The sequence below is a fragment of the Homo sapiens genome, chromosome 2 (assembly GCF_000001405.40).
Source record: "Homo sapiens chromosome 2, GRCh38.p14 Primary Assembly".
Lineage (NCBI taxonomy): Eukaryota > Metazoa > Chordata > Mammalia > Primates > Hominidae > Homo > Homo sapiens.
In genome coordinates this window covers 105,515,810-105,538,067 of record NC_000002.12, presented here as the reverse complement: position 1 = coordinate 105,538,067, position 22,258 = coordinate 105,515,810, and the positions used below count along the sequence as shown (strand labels likewise).

General features: G+C 43.3%; 1 long non-coding RNA gene across 1 annotated transcript; it reads right to left on the bottom strand.

The window, feature by feature from the left end:
• Positions 1–875: 875 nt before the first annotated feature.
• Positions 876–21,498, bottom strand: LOC105375311 (uncharacterized). The gene is made up of 3 exons (XR_001739625.2): positions 21,404–21,498; positions 10,632–10,742; positions 876–1,531 (listed from the first exon to the last, which is right to left on the bottom strand). It is a non-coding gene; the product is annotated as an uncharacterized LOC105375311 (long non-coding RNA).
• Positions 21,499–22,258: the final 760 nt, after the last annotated feature.

The following is a 22,258-nucleotide window of genomic DNA, read 5'->3' as shown; positions in this document are numbered from 1 at the left end:
CACAGGGCACGCTGTGCCAGGTAGCCCTGCAGCAGAGGGAGGGCTCGGGTTGCAGAAATAACCATAGCTGTGTGTTTTTTACCAAATCTGTTGATTTCTCAGCATGTCAGTTTTCTCATCTCAAAATGAATATACAGCCATCCCCACTTTCCTGTGTGTATGAGTCTGGGTCCAGCCAGGGATGGAAATGGGACTACACAATAATTTAAACAGCAGTGAATTATTTAGTTCTTTTAAGCAAGTAAATACCTGTAACAAAATCCCTCTATGATTCCTGAGGCTGCAGGAGCATGCCCGAGCAAGGTGAACTTGGAAGAGAGAGAAGGTGTGCTTGCCACTCCTGGATGACACAGAAGTTCGCCGGATTGCCTGGGTCAAAGCTGGTCCACAAGTGCTGGGCAAGCAGAGAGTGTTAACAGGCTTGCAGAGGACACGTGGTGTTGCTGTGGGTTGGAGGCCTGGAGCTGCTGGCATAGTGTCGAGGGAGCTGCAGGGAAGTGATCAGCAGGCGAGGCCCTACTAAGAAAGCTCAACGTCATGCCCACTGTAAGTAGGGATGCTTGAGAATTTGGTCCTTAACTACAGAGCAGCTGAGAAGCAAACTATCCTTTGATAATGAGGAATGCTGGGGAGGTTAAGTGAGATGGTGTGTAAAGCCCTGGGCATAGCCTACAGTTTCCACTGTGCTGCCTCAACCTGACTGCAGCTTACCTGGAATTCAGCTCCATTTCTTCAACCTGCGTTTTCAGTTGGCAAGTGTAAACCTCTTGATTTACAGTAAATGCTGGTTAGCCAGTGTCTGGAGGTCTGAAGAATGCCTCTTCATATAGATCCATTGCCTGACGCATGGCAAGTCGATACACCGAAACACTGGGTTGCAGCAGAGAGAAAGGTTTAATTGTAGCACCGTTGAACGAGGAGACGGGGAGACTTCAAATCCATCTCCCCTAGGAGGGTTTTAAAGGGTTGGAGTAGCATGAAGTGTGGAGATTGTTGATTGGTCAAGAGTACAAGGTGAAGTCATGGGATGGGGAGAGGAAGCCATTGTATTCTCATGCCAGTTCAGTTCCTCTGTGGGGCTCTTCAAACTGGTTGGCATCAGCTGTTCCACCAGAATTCAGGATCTGCCTAAGCAATTCTTAAACAAAAGCCTTCTGATTCTAACATCAGAGATGCTATCTATGGGAACAGTGGGGATGCGAATGGTCAGTATCTAGCGAGTGGTCGGTATCTAGCGAGTGGTTGATATCTAGCGAATGGTCAGTATCTAGTGCTACATGACTTTTAGTTACAAGGAAGTGGGTCAAAGAGCAGCCTGATTCATGCTCAATTATAATTGTATTTCTGTCCAGAATTCTTGTGAACATTGTGAGGATTGCTTCAGTATGACAGAAATCAGTCTGTAGACCAAAAAGCACAGAACTGAAGAAGCATGGGCCAGCTCCCAGCTGTTCACACGCAAAACAGGCTTTCCATGGATGCCTCTGTGTGTCCTGACAGGCTCTCAGGTTTAAAATGCGGCTTTCAGCAGCTGTGCATGGGGAAGACAAAAAGAAAAACTAGTAATTGCTTCAGAGTTCCTTTGATCATCATTCCCTTTCCTATCTGTGTTAGTTTCCTAGTACTGCTGTAGTACAATACCACGAACTGAGTGGCTGAGACATCAGGAACTTACTGTCTCAGATCTGGAGGCTGGAAGATCAAAGGCAAGGTGTGCACAGGCTTAAGTCCTTCTAAGGGCTGGGCAAGGCGTCTGTCCAGACCTCTCCCCCAGCTTCTGGTGGTTTGCTGGCAATCTTTGGTGCTCATATGGTGTTCTCTCTGTGTTCCTGTTCATGTCTCAATGTTCCCTTTTTATAAGGACACCAGTCATCTTGAAATAGGAGCCACCTTGGTACCCCCTCATCACATAGTAACTAATTGCATCTACTCTAACCCTATTTCCAAATAAAGTCTCATTCTCAATTACTGGGGGATTAGGACATCAACATATGAATTGGAGTGGTGCGGGGACACAATTCATACTCTTCCACTTGCCAAGCTCTTCTTTAACAGATATTATCAAACACTGGACTCACTGGATGCCACGTCAAGGAGGTACCACATGTCAGCCACTGCGCTGGGCACAGGCACAGAGCAATGAACACACAGACACAGTCCCTGTGCTCACATAAGCAAACACTCAGTTACTAGAAAGTGTGATGTGTGCTGTGGTGGGGGAAGGATAGGGTGACATCCTGGAGGTCCTAGGAGGGATGCTCACTTGGGTCTTGAGATGATTAGGAAAGACTGTTTCAGAGAAGAGGAAGGGCATGTGCAGAGTCTGGAGCTTTGGAAGACTGTAGGAGCTCACCAGGTTTGCAGTGAGCCTGAGCTGGGTGGGAACAGGGTGGAGGCAAGGGGGAAGTCAGGAAAGGTCGCTTAAGCCTTGTTAAGAAGTTTTGACCAGAACTTCCAACACTATGTTGAATAGGAGTGGTGAGAGAGGGCATCCCTGTCTTGTGCCAGTTTTCAAAGAAAATGTGGCACATATACATCATGGAATACTACGCAGCCATAAAAAATGATGAGTTCATGTCCTCTGTAGGGACATGGATGAAATTGGAAATCATCATTCTCAGTAAACTATCGCAAGAACAAAAAAACAAACACCGCATATTCTCACTCATAGGTGGGAATTGGACAATGAGATCACATGGACACAGGAAGGGGAATATCACACTCTGGGGACTGTTGTGGGGTGGGGGGAGGGGGGAGGGATAGCACTGGGAGATATACCTAATGCTAGATGACGAGTTAATGGGTGCAGCACACCAGCATGGCACATGTATACATATGTAACTAAGCTGCACAATGTGCACATGTACCCTAAAACTTAAAGTATAATAAAAAAAAAAAAAAAAAGAAGTTTTGACCCCATCCTACAGGCTGGCTGAAGAGCCACAGAAGTGTTCAACAGAGGTGACGTCAAAGAGCCCAGTGGGTGCTCAAGGGTTCAAGGGAGAGTGGATAGCAGAGGCAGGACTGGAGGTTGGAGGCTAATGCAGGAACCCCCTTGAAGCTGATGGCGGTGACCTGATTATGGATGAGGTGGAGGGCGTGGAGAGATGTAAGTGAATTTGAGAGGGAGAATACAAGAAGACACGATTGGCCAGGCATGGTGGCTCATGCCTGTAATCCCAGCACATTGGGAGGCAGAAGCAGGCGGATCACTTGAGGTCAGGAGTTTGAGACCAGCCTGGCCAACATGGTGAAACCCTGTCTCTACTAAAAATACAATAAATAAATAATTAGTCCATCATGGTGGTGTACACTCGTAGTCCCAGCTACTTGGGAGGCTAAGGCAGGAGAATTCTTGAGTCCAAGAGGCGGAGGTTGCAGTAAGCCGAGATCGTGCCACTGCACTCCAGCCCCAGTGACAGAGCAAGACTCTGTCTCAAACATAAATAAATAAATACATAATAAAGTAATTGTTTTTTTGAGATGGAGTCTTGCACTGTCGCCCAGGCTGAAGTACAGTATTATGATTTTGGCTCACTGCAACCTCCGCCTGTCGGGTTCAAGTGATTTTCCTGCCTCTGCCTCCTGAGTAGCTGGGATTACAGGCGTCTGCCACCATGCCCAGCTAATTTTTTGTACTTTTAGTAGAGACAGGGTTTCACCATGTTGTCCAGGCTGGTCTCGAACTCCTGACCTCGTGATTCGCCAGCCTCAGCCTCCCAAAGTGCTGGGATTACAGGCATGAGCCATCGTGCCCAGCCAAAATAAATTTTTTCAAAAAAGAAGACGGGAAGACAGGATTAACTGAGTGTTGTAGGTTGAGGAAAAGGGAGACCATCACAGAAAACTCTCAGTCCTTGCTTGAAAACCAGATGGAGGCAGTGCCATTCACTGGAATAAAACAGCAAGAGCAGCAGGTTTGGAAGGGGTAAAAAATAAACACCTTTTGACTCCAATTTGGGAGTGCATTGGTAAGTTTCTCATGTGTTTTGTTTCCTAACCCAACAGCAGAAAGTCTACAATTTTTCGTTTTGTTGCTGGACTTCTTTAAGAGTAAACAGTTTAGGCCGGGCACGGTGGCTCACGCCTGTAATCTCAGCACTTTGGGAGGCCGAGGCGGGCGGATCACGAGGTCAGGAGATCGAGACCATCCTGGCTAACACGGTGAAACCCCGTCTCTACTAAAAATACAAAAAAAAATTAGCCGGGTGAGGTGGCGGGTGCCTGTAGTCCCAGCTACTCGAGAGGCTGAGGCAGGAGAATGGCGTGAACCCTGGGGGGCGGAGCCTGCAGTGAGCCGAGATCGGGCCACTGCACTCCAGCCTGGGCAACAGCGAGACTCCGTCTCAAAAAAAAAAAAAAAAAAAAAAGAGTAAACAGTTTAATAGCCTACAATACAATATAAAAAAACTATAGCCTTAATGAATTATAAGAAAACATATGGCACTTAATAGCAACATCCAGCTTTTCAGGATATTAAGAGCAGTGTGTATTTTGGTAAATAGCACACACTTGGAGGAATTACATTAATGAAGTAATTTCACCTTCTTCTGGTATACCAACAATTTACTTAAAAGTTTTCAAATTTTTTTAATTTTCAATTTTTTAATTGACAAGTAAAAGTTGTATGTATTTATGGTGTATAACATGATGTTTTGATCTACGTACACATTGTGGGATGGCTAAATCAAGCTAATTAACATATATATTACCTTATATACTTATTTTTTGGTGAGAGCATTTGAAATCTACTCTCTTAGCAATTTTCAAGTACATGATATATATAATAATAGCATATTGTTATTAACTATAATCACCATGTTGTACAATAGATCTAAACTTATTCCTCCTGTGTAACTGAAAATTTTTAATCTTTTCACCAACCTTTCCTCAATCCTTCTACCACCCTACCTCTGGTAACCACCACTTTACTCTCTGCTTCTACGAGTTCGACTTTTTAGATTCCACATATAAGTGAGATCATGTGGTATTTTTGTGCCTGGCTTACTTCATTTCACCTAATATTTCCCAGTTTGTCCATGTTGTTGCAAATGACAGAGTTCCCTTCTTTTTTAAGGCTGAATAGTTTCCCATTGTGTATATGTACCACATTTTCCTTATCTGTTCATCCACTTAGAGCCACGTGGGCTTATTCCGTATTCCATAGCTTTGTTATTGTGAATAATGCTACGATGAATATGGGAATGCAGATAGGTCTTTGATATATTGATCTCATTTTCTATGAACACACACCTAGGATTGGTATTGTTGGTTCATATGGTAGTTCTATTTTTAATTTTATGAGGAATCTCCAAATAGTTTTCCATAATGGCTGTACTAATTTACATTCCCACCAACAGTGTACACGTGTTCTCTTTTCTCCACATCCTTGCCAACACTTATCTTTCTTATTTTTAAAAATAGCCATCCTAACAGGTGTCAGGTGATATCTCATCATGGTTTTGATTTGCATTTCCTTGGTGATTAGTTATGTTAAGCATTTTTTCACATACCTGTTGGCCATTTCTATGTCCTGTCTTGAGAAATGACTTTTCAGGTCCTTTACCCATTTTTAATCAGGTTATTTGTTTTCTGGCTATTGAGCTGTTTGGGGTCTGTATGTACTTTGGATATTAACCCCTTAACACATATACGGTACGAGAATATTTTCTCTCATTCCATAGGCTGTCTCTTGACTCTGGTTGTTCTCTACAATTTTTGTTTTTTGAGTCGAAGCTCTCCACTGAACTATAAATGGACATACAGACAAGTGCACAGCACAAAGTATACTTTCCTCTGTAACCACCACCCAGATCAAAAAGTAGAACATTATTAGCATCACTGAATCCCTCTCATGTCCAATCCCAGGTACAAATCCCCTCCTTCCTGAAGGAAGCCACATCTTGTACAGCCACATCTTGACTGTACACCATAAAGCAGTTTTGCTGGGTTGTGAACTTTATATAGAGGGAATCGCACAAGTCAGTGTTCTTTTGTGCCTACCTCCTTTTGCTCAATACCAGGTTTGCTAGGTTCATTAATGTTGTTGTGTATGGTAGCAATTCATTCATTTACAAAGTAGTTGTGCTGATTACACTCCCAATGAGAGCACAAGAGGTTTTTGTTTTGTTTCGTTTCGTTTTGTTTTTTTCAGACAGAGTCTCACTCTATCGCCCAGCCTGGAGTGCAGTGGTGTGATCTCGGCTCACTGCAACCTCTGTCCCCCAGGTTCAAGAGATTCTCCTGCCTCAGCCGCCTGAGCTGGGACTACAGGCACTTGCCACCACGCCCGTCTAATTTTTGTATTTTTCATAGAGATGGGGTTTCACCATGTTGGCCAAGCTGGTCTCGAACTCCTGACCTCAGGTGATCCGCCCGCTTCAGCCTCCCAAAGTGCTGGGATTACAGGCATGAGCCACCGCGCCTGGCTATTTGCTCTTCTTCCCAGTCAACGTGTGGTAATAACCATCTTTTGTATTGTTATTATTTTAAATCATTATCATCAGGATATAGCTTCTTTTCTGAAGTTTGATTTACATTTTTCTGATGAATGATGAAGTTGATCTTTTCCTAACTTTACTGAGCATTTGAATATACTCTTTTATGTGTTTTCTCTTTAAAAAAAATAATTTGTAGGAGTTTAGAGATAGAAAAAAGTTGCAACTGTCTTTTCTTGCTCTATGGCTTACCTTTTCACACTCTTAATGGTATTTTGTGTTGGAAAGAAGTTTCTAATTTTAATATAGTTCAGTTTGTAAATATTTTCCTTTGTGGATAGTATTTTCTGTGTCTGGATTCAGAATTTTCTTAATATCCCAAATTTATGGATATATTCTCCTATATTATCTTCCAGAATCTTTATGTTTTTTACTATAAAAGTTAATTTTTGTATATGGAATGATGTAAGAGTAAGGTTTTATTTTATCATATCCAATTGACCCAGCACGACTTATAAAAAGACCATCCTGGCCAGGCAAAGTGGCTCATGCCTGTGATCTCAGCATTTTGGGAGGCTGATGTGGGAGGATCACTTAAGCCCAGGAACTCAAGATCAACCTGGGCAACATACGGATTCTGTCTCTATCAAAAAAATAAAAAATAAGTTAGCCAGGTGTGGTGGAATGTGCCTGTAGTTCCAACTACTTAGGAGGCTGAGGCAGGTGGATCACTTGGGCTACAGAGGTAGGCCACAATGAGCCGAGATCATACCACTGCACTTCAACCTGGGCAACAGAGTGAGACTCTGTCTCAAAATAAAATAAATACATAAGGTTAAAAAGACTATTCTTTCCCCAGTACTCCTTAGTCATAAACACATATGACAGTAATAAAGCATTCATTTATGTTTGAATCTATGTCTAGATTCTCTATTCTTTTTCACAGACTATTTGTTAATCTTTGCATTGGTATTATATTGTCTTAATTACTCTAGCTTAATTATAGGTCTTGATATCTGATAATGTATATCTTTCACCTTTGTTTTTTGTATTTTTCTAAACATTTATTTCCCAGGTATTTCCATAAATTTTAGGTTCAGCTTTTCAATTTACACACACACACACACACACCTGCTGAGAGATTGTATTGCATTAAATCTATAAATTTGGGGAGAATTGACATTTGATGCCTTGACAAATTGAGATTTCCTATATCCATTAATATGGTATGTCTTGCTATTTAACTAGGTCTTCTTTAATTTCTCTTGCAAATTTTATTTATTTATTATTGGTAGATTAAAAAGTATTTTTGATGCTATTATACATGAGATCATTTTTAAATGTTTATCTTCTAATTGATACTGGTACATACAAATAAAATTAATCTGTTATATTTACCTTGTTTCCAGCAATTTTCCTAAATTCTAAATTCTAGTGGTTTTTCTATAGAATTTGTTTGGATTTTTAAAATTCACAATCTTGTAATTTCTGAATAACATGAATTTTATATCTTTATTTGCAATCCTTATCCTTTTTTTCCTTAGACCAATGGCCAGGATATTCACCACAAGGTTGAATAGGGTTTTTGATAGCAGACATCTTGTCTTTTTCTCAGTCTTAAGGGGAAAGCTTTCAATATTTTATCATAAATATGCTTGCTGTGTGTGTGCCTGTGTGTGTGTGTGTGTGTGGTGTGTTTGCATGCACACTAGGTCTTTAATTTCTCTTGCAAATTCTATTTATTTATTATTGATAGATTTTTAAAGAATATTTGTATGCAATTATAAATGGGATTATTTTATGATAAAATGTATATGGGTTATACACATCTCACACCAGTTAGAATGGCGATCATTAAAAAGTCAGGAAACAACAGGTGCTGGAGAGGATGTGGAGAAATAAGAATGCTTTTACACTGTTGGTGGGACTGTAAACTAGTTCAACCATTGTGGAAGACAGTGTGACAATTCCTCAAGTATCTAGAACTAGAAATACCATTTGATCCAGCCATCCCATTACTGGGCATATACCCAAAGGATTATAAATCATGCTGCTATAAAGACACATGCACATGTATGCTTATTGTGGCACTATTCACAATAGCAAAAACTTGGAACCAACCCAAATGTCCATCAGTGATAGACTGGATTAAGAAAATGTGACACACATACACCATGGAATACTATGCAGCCATAAAAAAGGATGAGTTCATGTCCTTTACAGGAACATGGATGAAGCTGGAAACCATCATTCTGAGCAAACTATCACAAGGACAGAAAACCAAACACTGCATGTTTTCACTTATAGGTGGGAACTGAACAATGAGAACACATGGACACAGGGTGGGGAACATCACACACCAGGGCCTGCTGGGGGATGGGGGTAGGGGGGAGGGATAGCGTTAGGAGATATACCTAATGCTAAATAACGAGTTAACGGGTGCAGCACACTAACATGGCACATGTATGCATATGTAACAAACCTGCGTGTTGTGCACATGTACCCTAGAACTTAAAGTATAATAAAATAAATAAATAAATAAGTAAAATAAAATAAAATAAACGTATATGGGTTATATATTTTATTGAGTTAAGAAAAACTGCTTCAAGTCCTAGTTTATTATGATTTTTTTTTAACCACTAAACAAACCATGCATTTTAAAAATAAACCCAAGTAAAACTCCTGAGATTAGTGCTTAGGTCATTGGTTGTTAGCCTTGCTTCTTTTCTGGGGTATTCATTTAAAGCTGTATATGTCCCTTTAATTTTGGCATTAGCCAAATCCCACAAGTATCAATATAAATATTTTTATTCGGTTAAAAATACTTTGTAATTTCCATTGTGATTTGCGTTTGATCAATGGCTTATATAGCAATGCATCACTTAATTTCTAAACAAGAAAAAATAATTACTGCTGTATTGTTGCTTTTGAGCTTAGTGGTACTGTTTTCAGATAATGTATTTGTATGTTTTTAATCTTCTGAACTTTGTTGAAACATGTTTTGTGTCCCAGCTTACAGTCAATTTTGGTAAATGTTTCATGTGCCCTTGAAAAAAGAAAGCATAATCTTCCATTTCTGATTTCAGTGTTATATATATATGACAACACAATCAAACTTAATACCTTAGAGCAGTTTGCTGTTGAAATTTTGAGTTTTTATTTGAAAGTGTATTTTATTTGTCATTATTTTGAAGGTTAATTCCGCTAGATATAGAACTCTATATTGGGGGTTATTTTCTTTCATCTTTTTGAAACCATTATCCTCTGGCTTCCATTATTTCTGTTAAAAAGTCATCTCCCAGCCTTGTTGTTGCTCCTTTGAAGAAAATATGTCTATTCTTCATCTGGCTGCTTTCAATTTTTAAAACCTTTTAACAATTCTGTGACAGTATAAGTGTGTATTTTTTTTTAAGAAAAGAAATTATCTTATTTAGCGTTTGTAGCACTTCTTAAATCTTTGGTGTAGTGTTTTGTCCTTTTAAAAAGTTCCCCACCATTAATCTTTTTAGATTGCTTCAACCTCATTTTCCCTCTCTTTTCCTTTTGGGACTCAAATACGTCGTATGGTTAGAACTTTTCACTATGCCCTACATATGCCTTAAGCTATTTTCTGTATTTTTTTTTTAGCTTGAAAGATAAGCATGGAGATGCTTCAATCTAGTTATTTTTCAATTATCTATACTTCAATTTCCTAACTCATTTCTGCTCTTAAACCCTTTTGTTTAGGTCTTAATTTTGTTTACTGTTTTCAGTTCTAGAATATCTATTTGAATTTTTGAATTTTTCAGTTTCTTGATGAATTTCTTCAACTTTTTGTTAAACGTATTGAACTTATCACAGTCATTTTGAAGTTTATATCTGATAAATCCAATATCTGGATATATTGTCTATACATTTTCTTGATTTTATGTTCATTGTGTCTTGTTTTCTATGCCTGGTTATCTTTAATTGAATGTGAGACATTGGGTAAGAAAATTCATGGAGATAATTTGAGACTCTGGATGATATTATCTTCCACAAGAGAATTTACGTTTGCTTCTGACAGGCAGCTGGGGTGGGAGAATCTTACTATATCTCTTAAATTTAGTTTGATTCAAATCTGGGCTTTTTAGAAGCTCATATCTGGTTTAGATTCATGATTTTTCCCAGGGTGCAGCCTTTCAGAGATCCCAACTGAAAACCCGGAATGCTTACCTGGCCTTCCTTTTTGGTGATTCCTGAGCTCTGACTTTTGTCTCTCCAGCCATCTGAGACTCCCCCAGCTGTGCACACCTTATCAGCTTCCACTTTGGAAAATCCAGATATCTTGTGGTGCAAAAGTAGAGGCAAAGATCACTTACCTTTCTGGACATTTTTGCCTGGAAAAGTGGCTTCTTAAGTTCTTGCTGCCTGGTAGTTCAGTATTGTTTTCAAACTTATTTTTGTTAACTCCAATTTTCCTGGTTTTCCAGAGCTAGAGGGTTCTAGTAAGGGGGTTGTGTGTGAAAACTGCCAAAAGTGAAATTTTTACAAAAATTGCACTTTAGAATACTATTTTCAAAATTATATAGAAAGAAGCATCTGTTTTTTTAAAAGATGTGCTTAACTTAAGCTGTTGCATTTAAAAAAAATAACATTTTTTCTGACAAGAAAAGTGAAGTTTTGTTGAATCTGAAGACATAATACTATTTATTTGTGAGTTGATATTATTTGCCTAATATTAGGATAAACATATTATTTATCATCCAAAGCAATATACTTTTGAGAGTAAAAGGGCCATTAAGTAAATAGGATACACCAGAAAAAAATAGGTATAAATGAATGTCACAGGATCCTTAGGGTGTCGCTTGGACAGTCGAAACCTCTGTGGCCGGCGGCGCCTCTGCTTGAGTTTTGCTCGCACCTGCTGGGTTCGTTCCACCCACTCAACCCAGCAGGCTGTGATTGGCTCACGCTACCGATCCAGATCCCACGCTTGTCAAGGGCAAGCCGGGAGCAGGGTGGCAAAGGGTATGTGCATGAGTGAACTCAGGGTCCGGTCACTGTGCACAGCCAGGCACATTGGCTGCAGTGGGGTGGGCAGCTCCAGGCAGCAGCACAGCCACTGGCTCTGTGTGAGGCTGTGTCTGGACCAGGTGTACCGCAAGTGGCTTCTGCTGTGGGCACCGGGGAACGTGGTGGCGCCTAAAACTTGGAGACGCCAGGAACTGCAGAGCCCCGAAGATGTTGTTACATTGTGTCAGAGCCCAGGCTCAGGGAGCCCCGAGGTCTGGGCCCCCAGAAGGACGGGCCTCAACTCTTTTCTCCTGGCTGCCTGCCTGCAATGTGGTAAGCACGTTGTGGAGGGCGGGGGGCGAGCCGGCATGTTTAGAGGGTTTCAGCCCATTTGTGTTATAGCACTTTCAGTCCCACCGCCCGCCCTGTTCTGGCTTGCAGCTTCTGGGCTGGCTCAGCCCCACCACTGCTTCCTGCCATGTGGGGCGGCTACCTGGCGCCCGTGGAGGGTGGAAGGGCTAAAGTGTTACAGCAGCTCTGGCTCAGGGAACCCCAAGGTCTAGGCCCCCAGAAGGGTTTCCAGTCTTCACTCTTGTAGTCCAGGGGTATGTCACCACCCACAGCTCAGCAAGCTGGCCAGGAACGTGTTACAGCTCCCTTTGCTCCTGCTGTTCAGTGAGTCCTAAGTTCTTGTCCCACATCCAGGAAGAATGAGGCTATATGGACAACTGGACGGTGAGCAAGGCAGGGAGGAGCTTTACTAAGTGACAGAACAGCTCTCAAGAGACCCAAAGTAGGTAGCTCCTTTCCACAAGCAGGTCGTCCCAGTGAGCGTCTGAGTCTGACTGAATCTGGGTTTTTTTATGGGCTTGTAATGAGGAAGTGCATGCTGATTGGTCCATGTGCAGACATGGGTGGACATGGAAAAAGCACCATTGGATTGTCCGAAAGGCATCAATGAAGTTCTCACTCCAGGTTGTGGGCTCCACCCAGAACTGGCAATAAGGCCCCCAGGCTTCAGGCTGTTCCTGACTTGAAGGTGGGGCGAGGTCCCACTCCTTGCCCAGGAACCTGTCTGCCTCCCACCACCATCAACATGCTGTTAGCGGTACCCATGCTGTCCGTGCTGAGGGGTACCCACAGGCCTGCGACAAGCCACCCTCAGCCCTCCCCACCTCCCTGAGCTCGTTGGCCCCCAAAGTTTAGAGGGGGCCAAAGTGGTGGAAGAGCTGGCATGTCAGTGCCACCCTAAGCACGCACACATGCAGCTTGGGTTGCGACAGCCCCTGGGCTCAGCTATAACTTTGCTCCACACTGGAGTGGGCACCAGGAGTGGGGAGAGGCTGGGGAGTGGGAGCAGGCACCTCTGAGCCTGTAGGGGCAGGGATCTTTCCAGGCTCCTGAGAGCACAGAGATGCCCAGGTCCAGAGCTGCAGCTGGGTGGCTGCAGTTCTGCCTGGGAGCATGGGCTCCTGACCAGCCAACTTGGTAGGATGCGGGGCTCCCTCTGGGATCACCTGTTCCCAGCCCCCACCAACTCCCCAGAGCATGCAGCCCCAGTCACACCTCTCCTGCTGCAGCTGGCCTGCCCGCAGCAGCCACTCCAGATGGGCTGCCACTGCCATCACTATGATTATCCTGGAAAAACTGGAATGCATGATCACCCTACCTGTAGTTACAAATTTTAGGAATTATAGCAAAATTTCACTTTAAGAAATAAAAACAGTAAATTAAATTCACTTTAAGGCCTACTTCTGTTAATTACTTACAAATAATTATTGAGGAAAAAAACTAATGATTTCTCTTTCTCTTTACATGGAGTATGTATAGAAAAATATTTGGGCTGGGCGTGGTGGCTCACGCCTGTAATCCCAGCACTTTGGGAGGCCGAGGCAGGTGGATCACGAGGTCAGGAGATCGAGACCATCCTGGCTAACACGGTGAAACCCCGTCTCCGCAAAAAATACAAAAAATTAGCCGGGCGTGGTGGCGGGCGCTTGTAGTCCCAGCTACTCAGGGAGTCTGAGGCAGGAGAATGGCGTGAACCCGGGAGGCGGAGCTTGCAGTGAGCGGAGATTGTGCCACTGCACTCCAGCCTGGGCGACAGATCGAGACTCTGTCTCCAAAAAAGAAAGAAAAATATTTGGAAAAAATCACTCTACATTGTCATTTGAAGATTTTATACAATGATAAAATAAACAATTTTAAAAGAAATTTGAAAAGTTCGTAAAATAAAATTTAGAGTCTAGATAGGTGAAATGAGCAAAAACATGTTTCATAGGCTAAGGGAAAATTATAAGCAGGCACTGCAAAGATTCCAAAACTGAATATTTATCAGGCAGTAAGCTCTTAATGCTTGAATTGATTCCAGTACTCTGGAATTACAAATTTACCCCTAGTGTCAGAGTATTTAGTAATAAAATTTCACATTGTTGTTTTGTTGGGAGAAAAATATTACACTGTTTATCTACTTTATTTTTTAAAATTTTTTAATTTTTTTTTTTTGAGACGGAGTCTTGCTCTGTCTCCCAGGCCGGAGTGCAGTGGCGCCATCTCAGCTTACTGCAACCTCCGCCTCCCAGGTTCCAGCGATTCTCCTGCCTCGGCCTCCCGAGTAGCTGGAACTACAGGCATGTGCCACCACGCCTGACTAATTTTTGTCATTTTAGTAGAGACAGGGTTTCACCATATTGGCCAGGCTGATCTTGAACTCCTGACCTCTTGATCCACCTGCCTCAGCGTCCCAAAATGCTGGGATTACAGGCATGAGCCACCGCATCCGGCCATCTACTTTATTTTAAAAAATGTTTCAAATAAATATGTCCTCAACAATGTTAATGAAACTCTCTATATTAATAAGGTTTATGGGAAAGGGTTCTAGGTAAAGAAAGGTCAGTAGTAAAGTAAACAACACACAACTTATATGTTCCAGATCTGTTATTTGTTCAACTCTGGCATGTGGCAAACAACTTTGATTATAGAATTTTAGGAGTTGATTTTGTTTCTCAAATTGGGGCCTTCGTACCACCTGGATCAAGGTCATCTGTGGGTTTTATTTTAAAAATGAAGACATGCAGGCGCATCTTGGATCCTTCTGTGATCTGCCCTCCAGCTGATTATTATTCCTACTGAAGTTTGGGCTCTGCTGTGATACTAGTGATGAATGAAGCACCAAGATTTGGAATGAACTCAGTAGGGGTGAGCTGGAGCCACAGTGAAGAAAGATGTAGAATCTTGTCTGGGCAACAGTGCTTAGACCATCACATAGTTCTCTTGTCTCCCTTCAACTCTCCTCTTTTTTTTTTTTTTAGACAGGGTCTCATTTTCTCTGCCCAGATTGGAGTGCAGTGGTGCGATCTTGGCTCACTACAACCTCCGCCTCCCAGGCTCAACTGAGTCTCCTGCCTCAGCCTCCCTAGTAGCTGGGATTACAGGTGCACACCACCACGCCTGGCTGATTTTTTTGTATTTTTGGTAGAGACGGGGTTTTGCCATGTTGGCCAGGCTGGTCTTGAACTCCTGATCTCAAACGATCCACCCGCCTCGGCCTCCCAAAGTGCTGGAATGATAGGCATGAGCCACTGTGCCCGGCCTCCCCTTAGTTTTTATTCTTTTGGCCTCTTCCTTGAGTTTGTCCCATGAGAGTTCCCTGCCAATTTGACCTGTTGACTTTCTGCTCTACTTTTACGGTCTGCTGCTGCATCTGGAGGCCACCTGTTTGCAGTGAAACCCATCTCTGCCTTGTAGCTTCAGGTTTCTGCAACCGGGTTTCTGGTCACCTTGACCCAGATTCCTGGCCAGCTTCCACAGCAGGCAGTAATGCCATACTGAGCAGAAATTTAAACACTGTGTGTTGCAAGCTAAAAAAGTACAATCCATGAGGTCAGTTAGGCTTGACGAAAGTATTGTTTAACCCTGAGGTTATCGCTGTTATCTATTACAGAGAAAGTAAGCTAATTAATGCTCATAATGAGTGGTATTGTTTGAATGTGTCCCTAAATGTTTTCTTGGTTTTTCGTTTTGTTTTGTTTTGAGACAGAGTTTTGCTCTTGTTGCCCAGGCTGGAGTGCAATGGTGCAATCTCGGCTCACTGTAACCTCCACCTCCCAGGTTCACGAAATTCTCCTGCCTCAGCCTCCCGAGTAGCTGGGATTACAGGCATGCGTCACCACACCCGGCTAATTTTGTATTTTTAGTAGAGATGGGGTTCCTCCATATTGGTCAGGCTGATCTTGAACTCCTGACCTCAGGTGATCCACCCGCCTCGGCCTCCCAAAGTGCTGGGATTACAGGCGTAAGAGAAGGCGTAAGTCTTCTTCTTCTTCTTTTTTTTTTTTTTTTTTTTTTTTTGAGGCAGAGTCTTGTTCTCTGGAGACTGGAGAGCAGTGGCACAGTCTTGGCTCACTGCAGCCTCTGTCTCATGGGTTCAAGCAATTCTCCTGCCTCAGCCTCCTGAGTAGCTGGGACTACAGGCACCCAGCACCATGCCCAGCTAATTTTTTTTTTTTAATAGAGACAGGGTTTCACCACGTTGGCCAGGATGGTCTCAAACTCCTGACCTCAAGTGATCTGTCTGCCTCGGACTCCCAAAATGCTGGGATTACAGGCGTGAGTCACCGCGCTTGGCTGTGTCCCCTAAATTTTATGTGTTGGAAACTTAATCTCCGAATTCATATGTTGATGGAATTTGAAGATGGTATCTTTTAGCATTAAAGGGAAATATTAGTAGATAAGGTCATCAGGGTGCATCCCCATGAAGGGACTTGTGGCTTTATAGGAAGAGAAAGAGAGTCTTGTGCTGACATGCACGCTTGCCCTGTCTTGCCATGGGATGCCTCCCGCATGTCATGAGACAGCAGAAAGGCCCTCGCCAGATGCTGGTGCCATGCTCTCGGACCTTCCAACCTCCAGAACCATGAGCTAAAGAAACTTCTTTTCCTTATAAGCTACCCAGCCTGTGGTATTCTGGTATAGCAACAGAGAATGGACCAATACAGTCAGCACGCTGCATCATCAAGGAAAGATGTAATTGGGTTCATTATCTCTCACTTAATAAGGCAGTAAATTAGTAATTATTTTAGAAATATTCCCATAAACAATTTAAAATATATGTACATCAAGCTTTAGTTACCCAAGGAGGGAGAGGGGGAACACTCGCTCAAAATTCTCACCACATCATGATAATCAATGATAAATAAGGAATAACTGGAATAGCCACTATGCTTTGTTTGAAGAAAGAAGTTGTAATAATCTGTTTTTACACCAGATGGCAGAGTTGGTTTTCCTTTGGTTTTTTTTTTTTTTGTTTGTTTGTTTTTTTAAAGACTCCAAAATAGCTGCCTATTTTATATAACCAGCTTTTACTTGTTGGTTCCCATCAGGTCAATATAATTTGTTTAATACCTTTTCACATAAGGACATAGCACAATGAAAGGCTTACTTTACCCTAAGCCTTTTAGGGGGAAACAGAATAGCAGATGGTCTAGAGAGTATGATTCAGCTAGATTATACCTACTTTGCCAAAGGAATTATGCATTTAAATAATACCTGTGGTTGCCTTCAAACTAACACAAGTTTTCATAATTTTTATATACAATTATAAAACCTATTGGCTTATCATTCCAATAGTTTCTGAAACATCAACTATACTGCTTGCAAATGCATTTTTTGAAATTTATGTCTACTACTAACAATCATAAGAAATGAATTTGTATTCTTCTTATTGTGTGTGTTATCTTGTTTTCATTTTACTTTTTTCCCTACTAAACTTGAGGAGCAAAGCAAAAATACTAAGAGATTCTTTTTCAATAACTAGTGTAATAAACATTCAATATGCTAATTATCATAAGATAGACCTCTCTCGTTCTCACAACAAATAACTGTACAGAAGATGCAAATGTCCATGTACCTTATACTTCCACGCAAATTGCAGAATTTATCCCTAAATTTTAAAAGTGTAAGTATGGCTACATTTTGGAACCGTGGAATGTCTTAGTTCATATGTCCTACATTGCCCATTATACTATTTGTGAACTTGCCTTAGCATTAATCTCAAATATAAACTGCTTGGAACTTAGAGGTTAATGTTGCTCTCCTGGTCCCCCTGAGGTGCCCAGCTGTATTATGGCATAGATACCTGACACAGCTGTGGCAAGAATGAGTGCACAAATGGATAGGGTAAGAGAATAGGGGATATCGGTTTGTTGCATTATAGATTCCAGAAATACTTAAATTTCATCACACATACTTAACCGTTCTGTTCTTACTTATCCCATATCCTAGATGAGGCCATTTGAACCCAGAGGTCCATGCCTGGCACATGGTCAGAACTAAATATATGTTAATGCCCTTCTGGTCTCTTTTTTTCCTAAAGACTAGATGACTCTGTGACTAGAACCCTTGAGAACACTCAAAGTCAGAGGATATAAATAAGCATATAGTAATGTGTGTCTACATTACTAAAAAACAACTGAAAATCTAATCTCACCCAAACTGAAACCAATTTGGCTAAAACAAGTAAGAAATATCTTGAAGGGGCAGCGCTCCCTGCTAGTTGTTCCAGTGCAAGTTCTTGATTGTCAGTTAGAAATAAAAAATTTTAAGCTGGGTATGGTGCTCATACCTGTAATCCCAGTGCTTTGGGAGGCTGAGGTTGGAGGATTGCTTGAGGTCAGCCTGGGCAACATAGCAAGACCCCATCTCTTAAAAAAAATTTATTTTTAAGTCAGCCAGGTGTGATGGTGCATGCCAGCTCCTCAGAGGTCAAGGCAGAGGGTCACTTCAGCCCAGAAATTTGAGGCTACAGTGAGCTATGATCATGCCACTGTACTCTAGCTCTAGTAGAGCAAGACTCTGTCCCCCCAAGAATTTTTATTTAAAGACAAACTGAAGTTTAGTAATAGCCTATGGTTTGAGTGCATGATATCTTCCAGTAAGTGGCGGTGTGGGGTTTAGCATCCTTCTTTTCTGTGATATTTAAACTAATTTATTCTTTGTATTTAATAAATGTTGAGTAACTACTTTGTCCAGAAAGTTTTTTATAGATACGGAAGAAAGGGAACCTGCGGTCTGTGAAGGGCAAAAGGCTAAATTGGGCTTCCATTTGTGCTATTTTCATGTATTAATTTAATATTTACTGAGTATAATAATAGTAGTCAATCTTTATTAGCTTTTACTTACTGTGAGCCAAACATTATTCTAAGCACCTCATCTATATTAACTAATTTAATTTTTATAAAAACCTTAGGAACAAAATGCTACTTTTAGCTGATTGTGCAAATGAGGATCCTGAGCACAGAGTTGAAGGGCCTGCCCAGAGCCACCCAGGCAGCAGGTGGCTGAGACAGCCCTGCCTGCATGGAGTTCAGCACTTACAGATTCCCAGGCTTGCAGAGGTCCAATAAATACTGGTTAGGAGCTCCTAGCATACATGCAAACTGATCAATGATAGCGCTATGCAGTGGAGAATGAACACCATGCCAAGAGGGCCCAGATGAGGGAGCAAGTGTGTCTCCCCAGGGGATGAGGCAGACCTTCCCCAGAGAGGTCACACTTACACAAGGCGTTAGAGGAGAAGCATGGTCCCTGGAAGATGCAGCAGCACACGTGCACAGACACAAGTGTGGGCTGCCTGGGAGCTGTCAAGGGGGTCAAATAGCCTGTGTGCATTGATGGGTGTTGGGGGCTGAGCTGGAGCTGCGGCCCCCGGTGTGTGAAGGGTTCCCCTCCTGGCCTAGGCTAAGGGTTCGGCATTCATCTTGCAGAGCCAAGGATGAGTTTAGCAGGGAATTAACTCCACCTGACTTTGGTGTGGATGACAAAGTGCAGTGCGGTGGGAAATGAGCTAATGTGGAGGACATCTGGGTCTTTGGACTCCTGGGGAAGCAGATCAGGGAGGCCAGATGTAGGCCTGACTCTGTCCATCAGCTGAGTGGCCTTCGTGAGAGGTGACTTCCTTGGTTGTGACCTGGGGATTAACAAACCAAACTCCCAAGTTTGTTGGGAGGATTGGATGAGGACAGTGCTTGCTCAGCACCTCTTATAAAGGAAACGCTCATCAACATTGGAGCTGGTCCCAGCCATGGACCCTTCCTAGCCCTGCCCCACCCCGCCTGCAGACCATGGCAGTCAGGCAGTGATGATACCGAGACAGACATCACTGAACACCTAGGCTGAGCCCCTGGCCGGCCAGCACCCCGGGAAGCAGGTCCAATGCAGGTGCAAACATGTTTCCTGTGAGGACTATGGTCCAGAGAGGCCAGGCCACCTCACCAGGTCACACATGTGTCATCAGGGGGCTGGGGTTCAAACCCAGTTCTGTTTGGCTGATTCTAAATCCCCACTGGCCCTCTCTATGCAAGTACATATAATACCTCTTGAGAGCCCATCAGTGCAGAAGGGATTCTGACTCTCTTTTCCCTCACATGCCTGCTTGGGACACATGGGCATGGCAGGACAAGAGGACCCCATCTAGAGCCGAAACTGCAGCCTCTGGGTGCACTCTTGTTGGTAAGTGTTCTGGGCATGCTGCCTATGGAGCCATGGCCTCCAAGCCTTTAGATGTCACCAGCTGGAAGCGGCTAACAGCAAGTCCCCTGGGACGTTCTCAAACCCACAGGCATTCTGCAAAGGGCAAGGGGTCAGTATAGAAGGCAGCATGGCAAGGGCTGAAAACCTGGCTGGGAGCCCCAGGCACTGGTCCCACATGCTCCTGGTCCTCTGGCCAGCCAAGTCCCTGGGTGCCTGCCAGAGTTCTGTAGCACAAATACCAGGGAGCTGGGGCCTGTGCCCTCAAAGGCAGCATTAAGTTATCAGAGAAAAATATACATACATACATAATACACATATATACACGTACATATATGTACACATATACACACACACATAAATATATGTTAATAATGCAAAGTTGGATCTTAGCCCTCAAAACAGACAAGGCCTCTATTTGAAATTGCCCAGCTGAAACCCCATCTCTACTAAAAACACACAAAAAAATTAGCTGGCTGTGGTGGCGGGTGCCTGTAGTCCCAGCTACTCACTAGGGAGGCTGAGGCAGGAGAATGGCGTGAACATGGGAGGCGGAGCTTGCAGCGAGCCGAGATTGCGCCACTGCACTCCAGCCTGGGGGACAGAGCGAGACTCTGTCTCAAAAAAAAAAAAAAAAAAAAGAAAAAAATTGCCCAGCTACATTACTATCTAGAAGTCAAAGTTAACAAACCAAGAGGAAGTTGAACCTGGCAGAAAAGATTAGCTGTGTGTATGTTTCCTGGAGAAACAGAAGCAAGTTTATGGCCCATGGCCAGGGCAGGATCCACCAAGCCCAGGGACTGGTTATACAGTCCCTTTTTTTCACTGATAGCCCAGGGGATATTCCTCATTTAAAAAGTAAGTTTCTTCACAGTTTCGTTCTCCCCGATTTCTATTTGGTATCCCACCTGCAGGGCCTTTGATCCAGGCCCCCATTTGCCCTGGATTCCCCATAAGCACTGCTCAACCCTTTGCAGTCTCAGGTGGGCACGACCCCCAGCAGGAACTCTTTGCTCCCTGTCTTGCCCCATCCAAATGTATCCACCTCTTCCCTTTCTATCAGGGCCCTGTGTTATGCTAGTTCACAAATCAATTCATACGAAAGTAGCTGCTCACTAGTTGTGGCTTAATGAATCTCTCTGAGACACTGCAACGTATCATACTTTCTCTACTAAATGTTCATGATGGTAACCTTGAAAGGCTTAAGCCAGGAGGCTGGCTGTGGAAGTCTGGGCTGCAGGGCATCTTGATGTAGAAGCAAATGGGTCATTACAGTCCTTTCAGTAGGAGCACGTTTGTCAATGCCAGCGTCCTGACCTGGCTCCTCAGCGAAGTTGGGGTGGATGGCTCCTGACTTCACGTGTCTTTGAGAACTGCTCTCTCTGCCCCTTCCTAAGCCCGGCCCTGCTGTTTAGCTTAAACTAATCAGCTGCTAACATTTCATTTAAACAAGGTTTAAACTTTACCTCAGGGTATTCTTTCCTTGAATTCAGTCTTGGAAAATCAGTAGAAGCTTTTTCAGGTGGGAAACAATTTTATAAGGGTGTGTCCGCACATTTGCATGCACCTGGGGAATGCAATAAATAAGTAGTTAACATTTACTATGCAATAAGGTTTGTCATAAATGACCCCCAAAAATCCGTGGTTTTAACAGCAAGCATTTGTTTCTAGCTTCTGGTCCACGGGCTAGCTGGGCATTATTGGGCTCAACTGGACTTGGCTTCAGGCTGCGGACTGTCTTCAGCTGTGCTCCTCCTGGCTCCAGGTTTGGAGGTCAGCGGTTACTCAGAGCATGTTCTCCTCATGATAGATGGAGAAGCGCAAGAGAAGTGAGCAGAAACCTGCATCCCTCTTAAGGGCTTGGCCCTGAACCAGCACTGTCCCTCCTGTCACCATCTCCTTGGCCAGCACAAGTGGTATGGCCAGTTCCAACATCAGTGGGCCAGGAGGGTGGGCTACTTCCTCCACAGTGACCATGGCAAGGAAGGAGAGGAAGGCCTGTGGGCGAACAACACCATGCCCTGCCACAGGGCAGCACGTGCAATGACACAGAGGTATAAAGAAGCTCGGCTGGTGTCAGAGGCATGTTTGGCAGCAGGGAGATAGGGAGCAAGGCTGGCAGATGGTGAGTTTGGAGAAAGAAGTTAGGACTGGCTAGTGGAGGGCTGGGCTTCCTTGCCAAGGAGCGTGGCTCTCATCCTGTAGGCAGTGGAATGACATTCAGGATAAGGACTCGCTCGGCCTGCAGCTCCCTCCTCCCACCCTGCTGCTGTTCCTGCTCTGGGGCACACAGGAGCATGCAGTGGCTGAATGGAAACTGA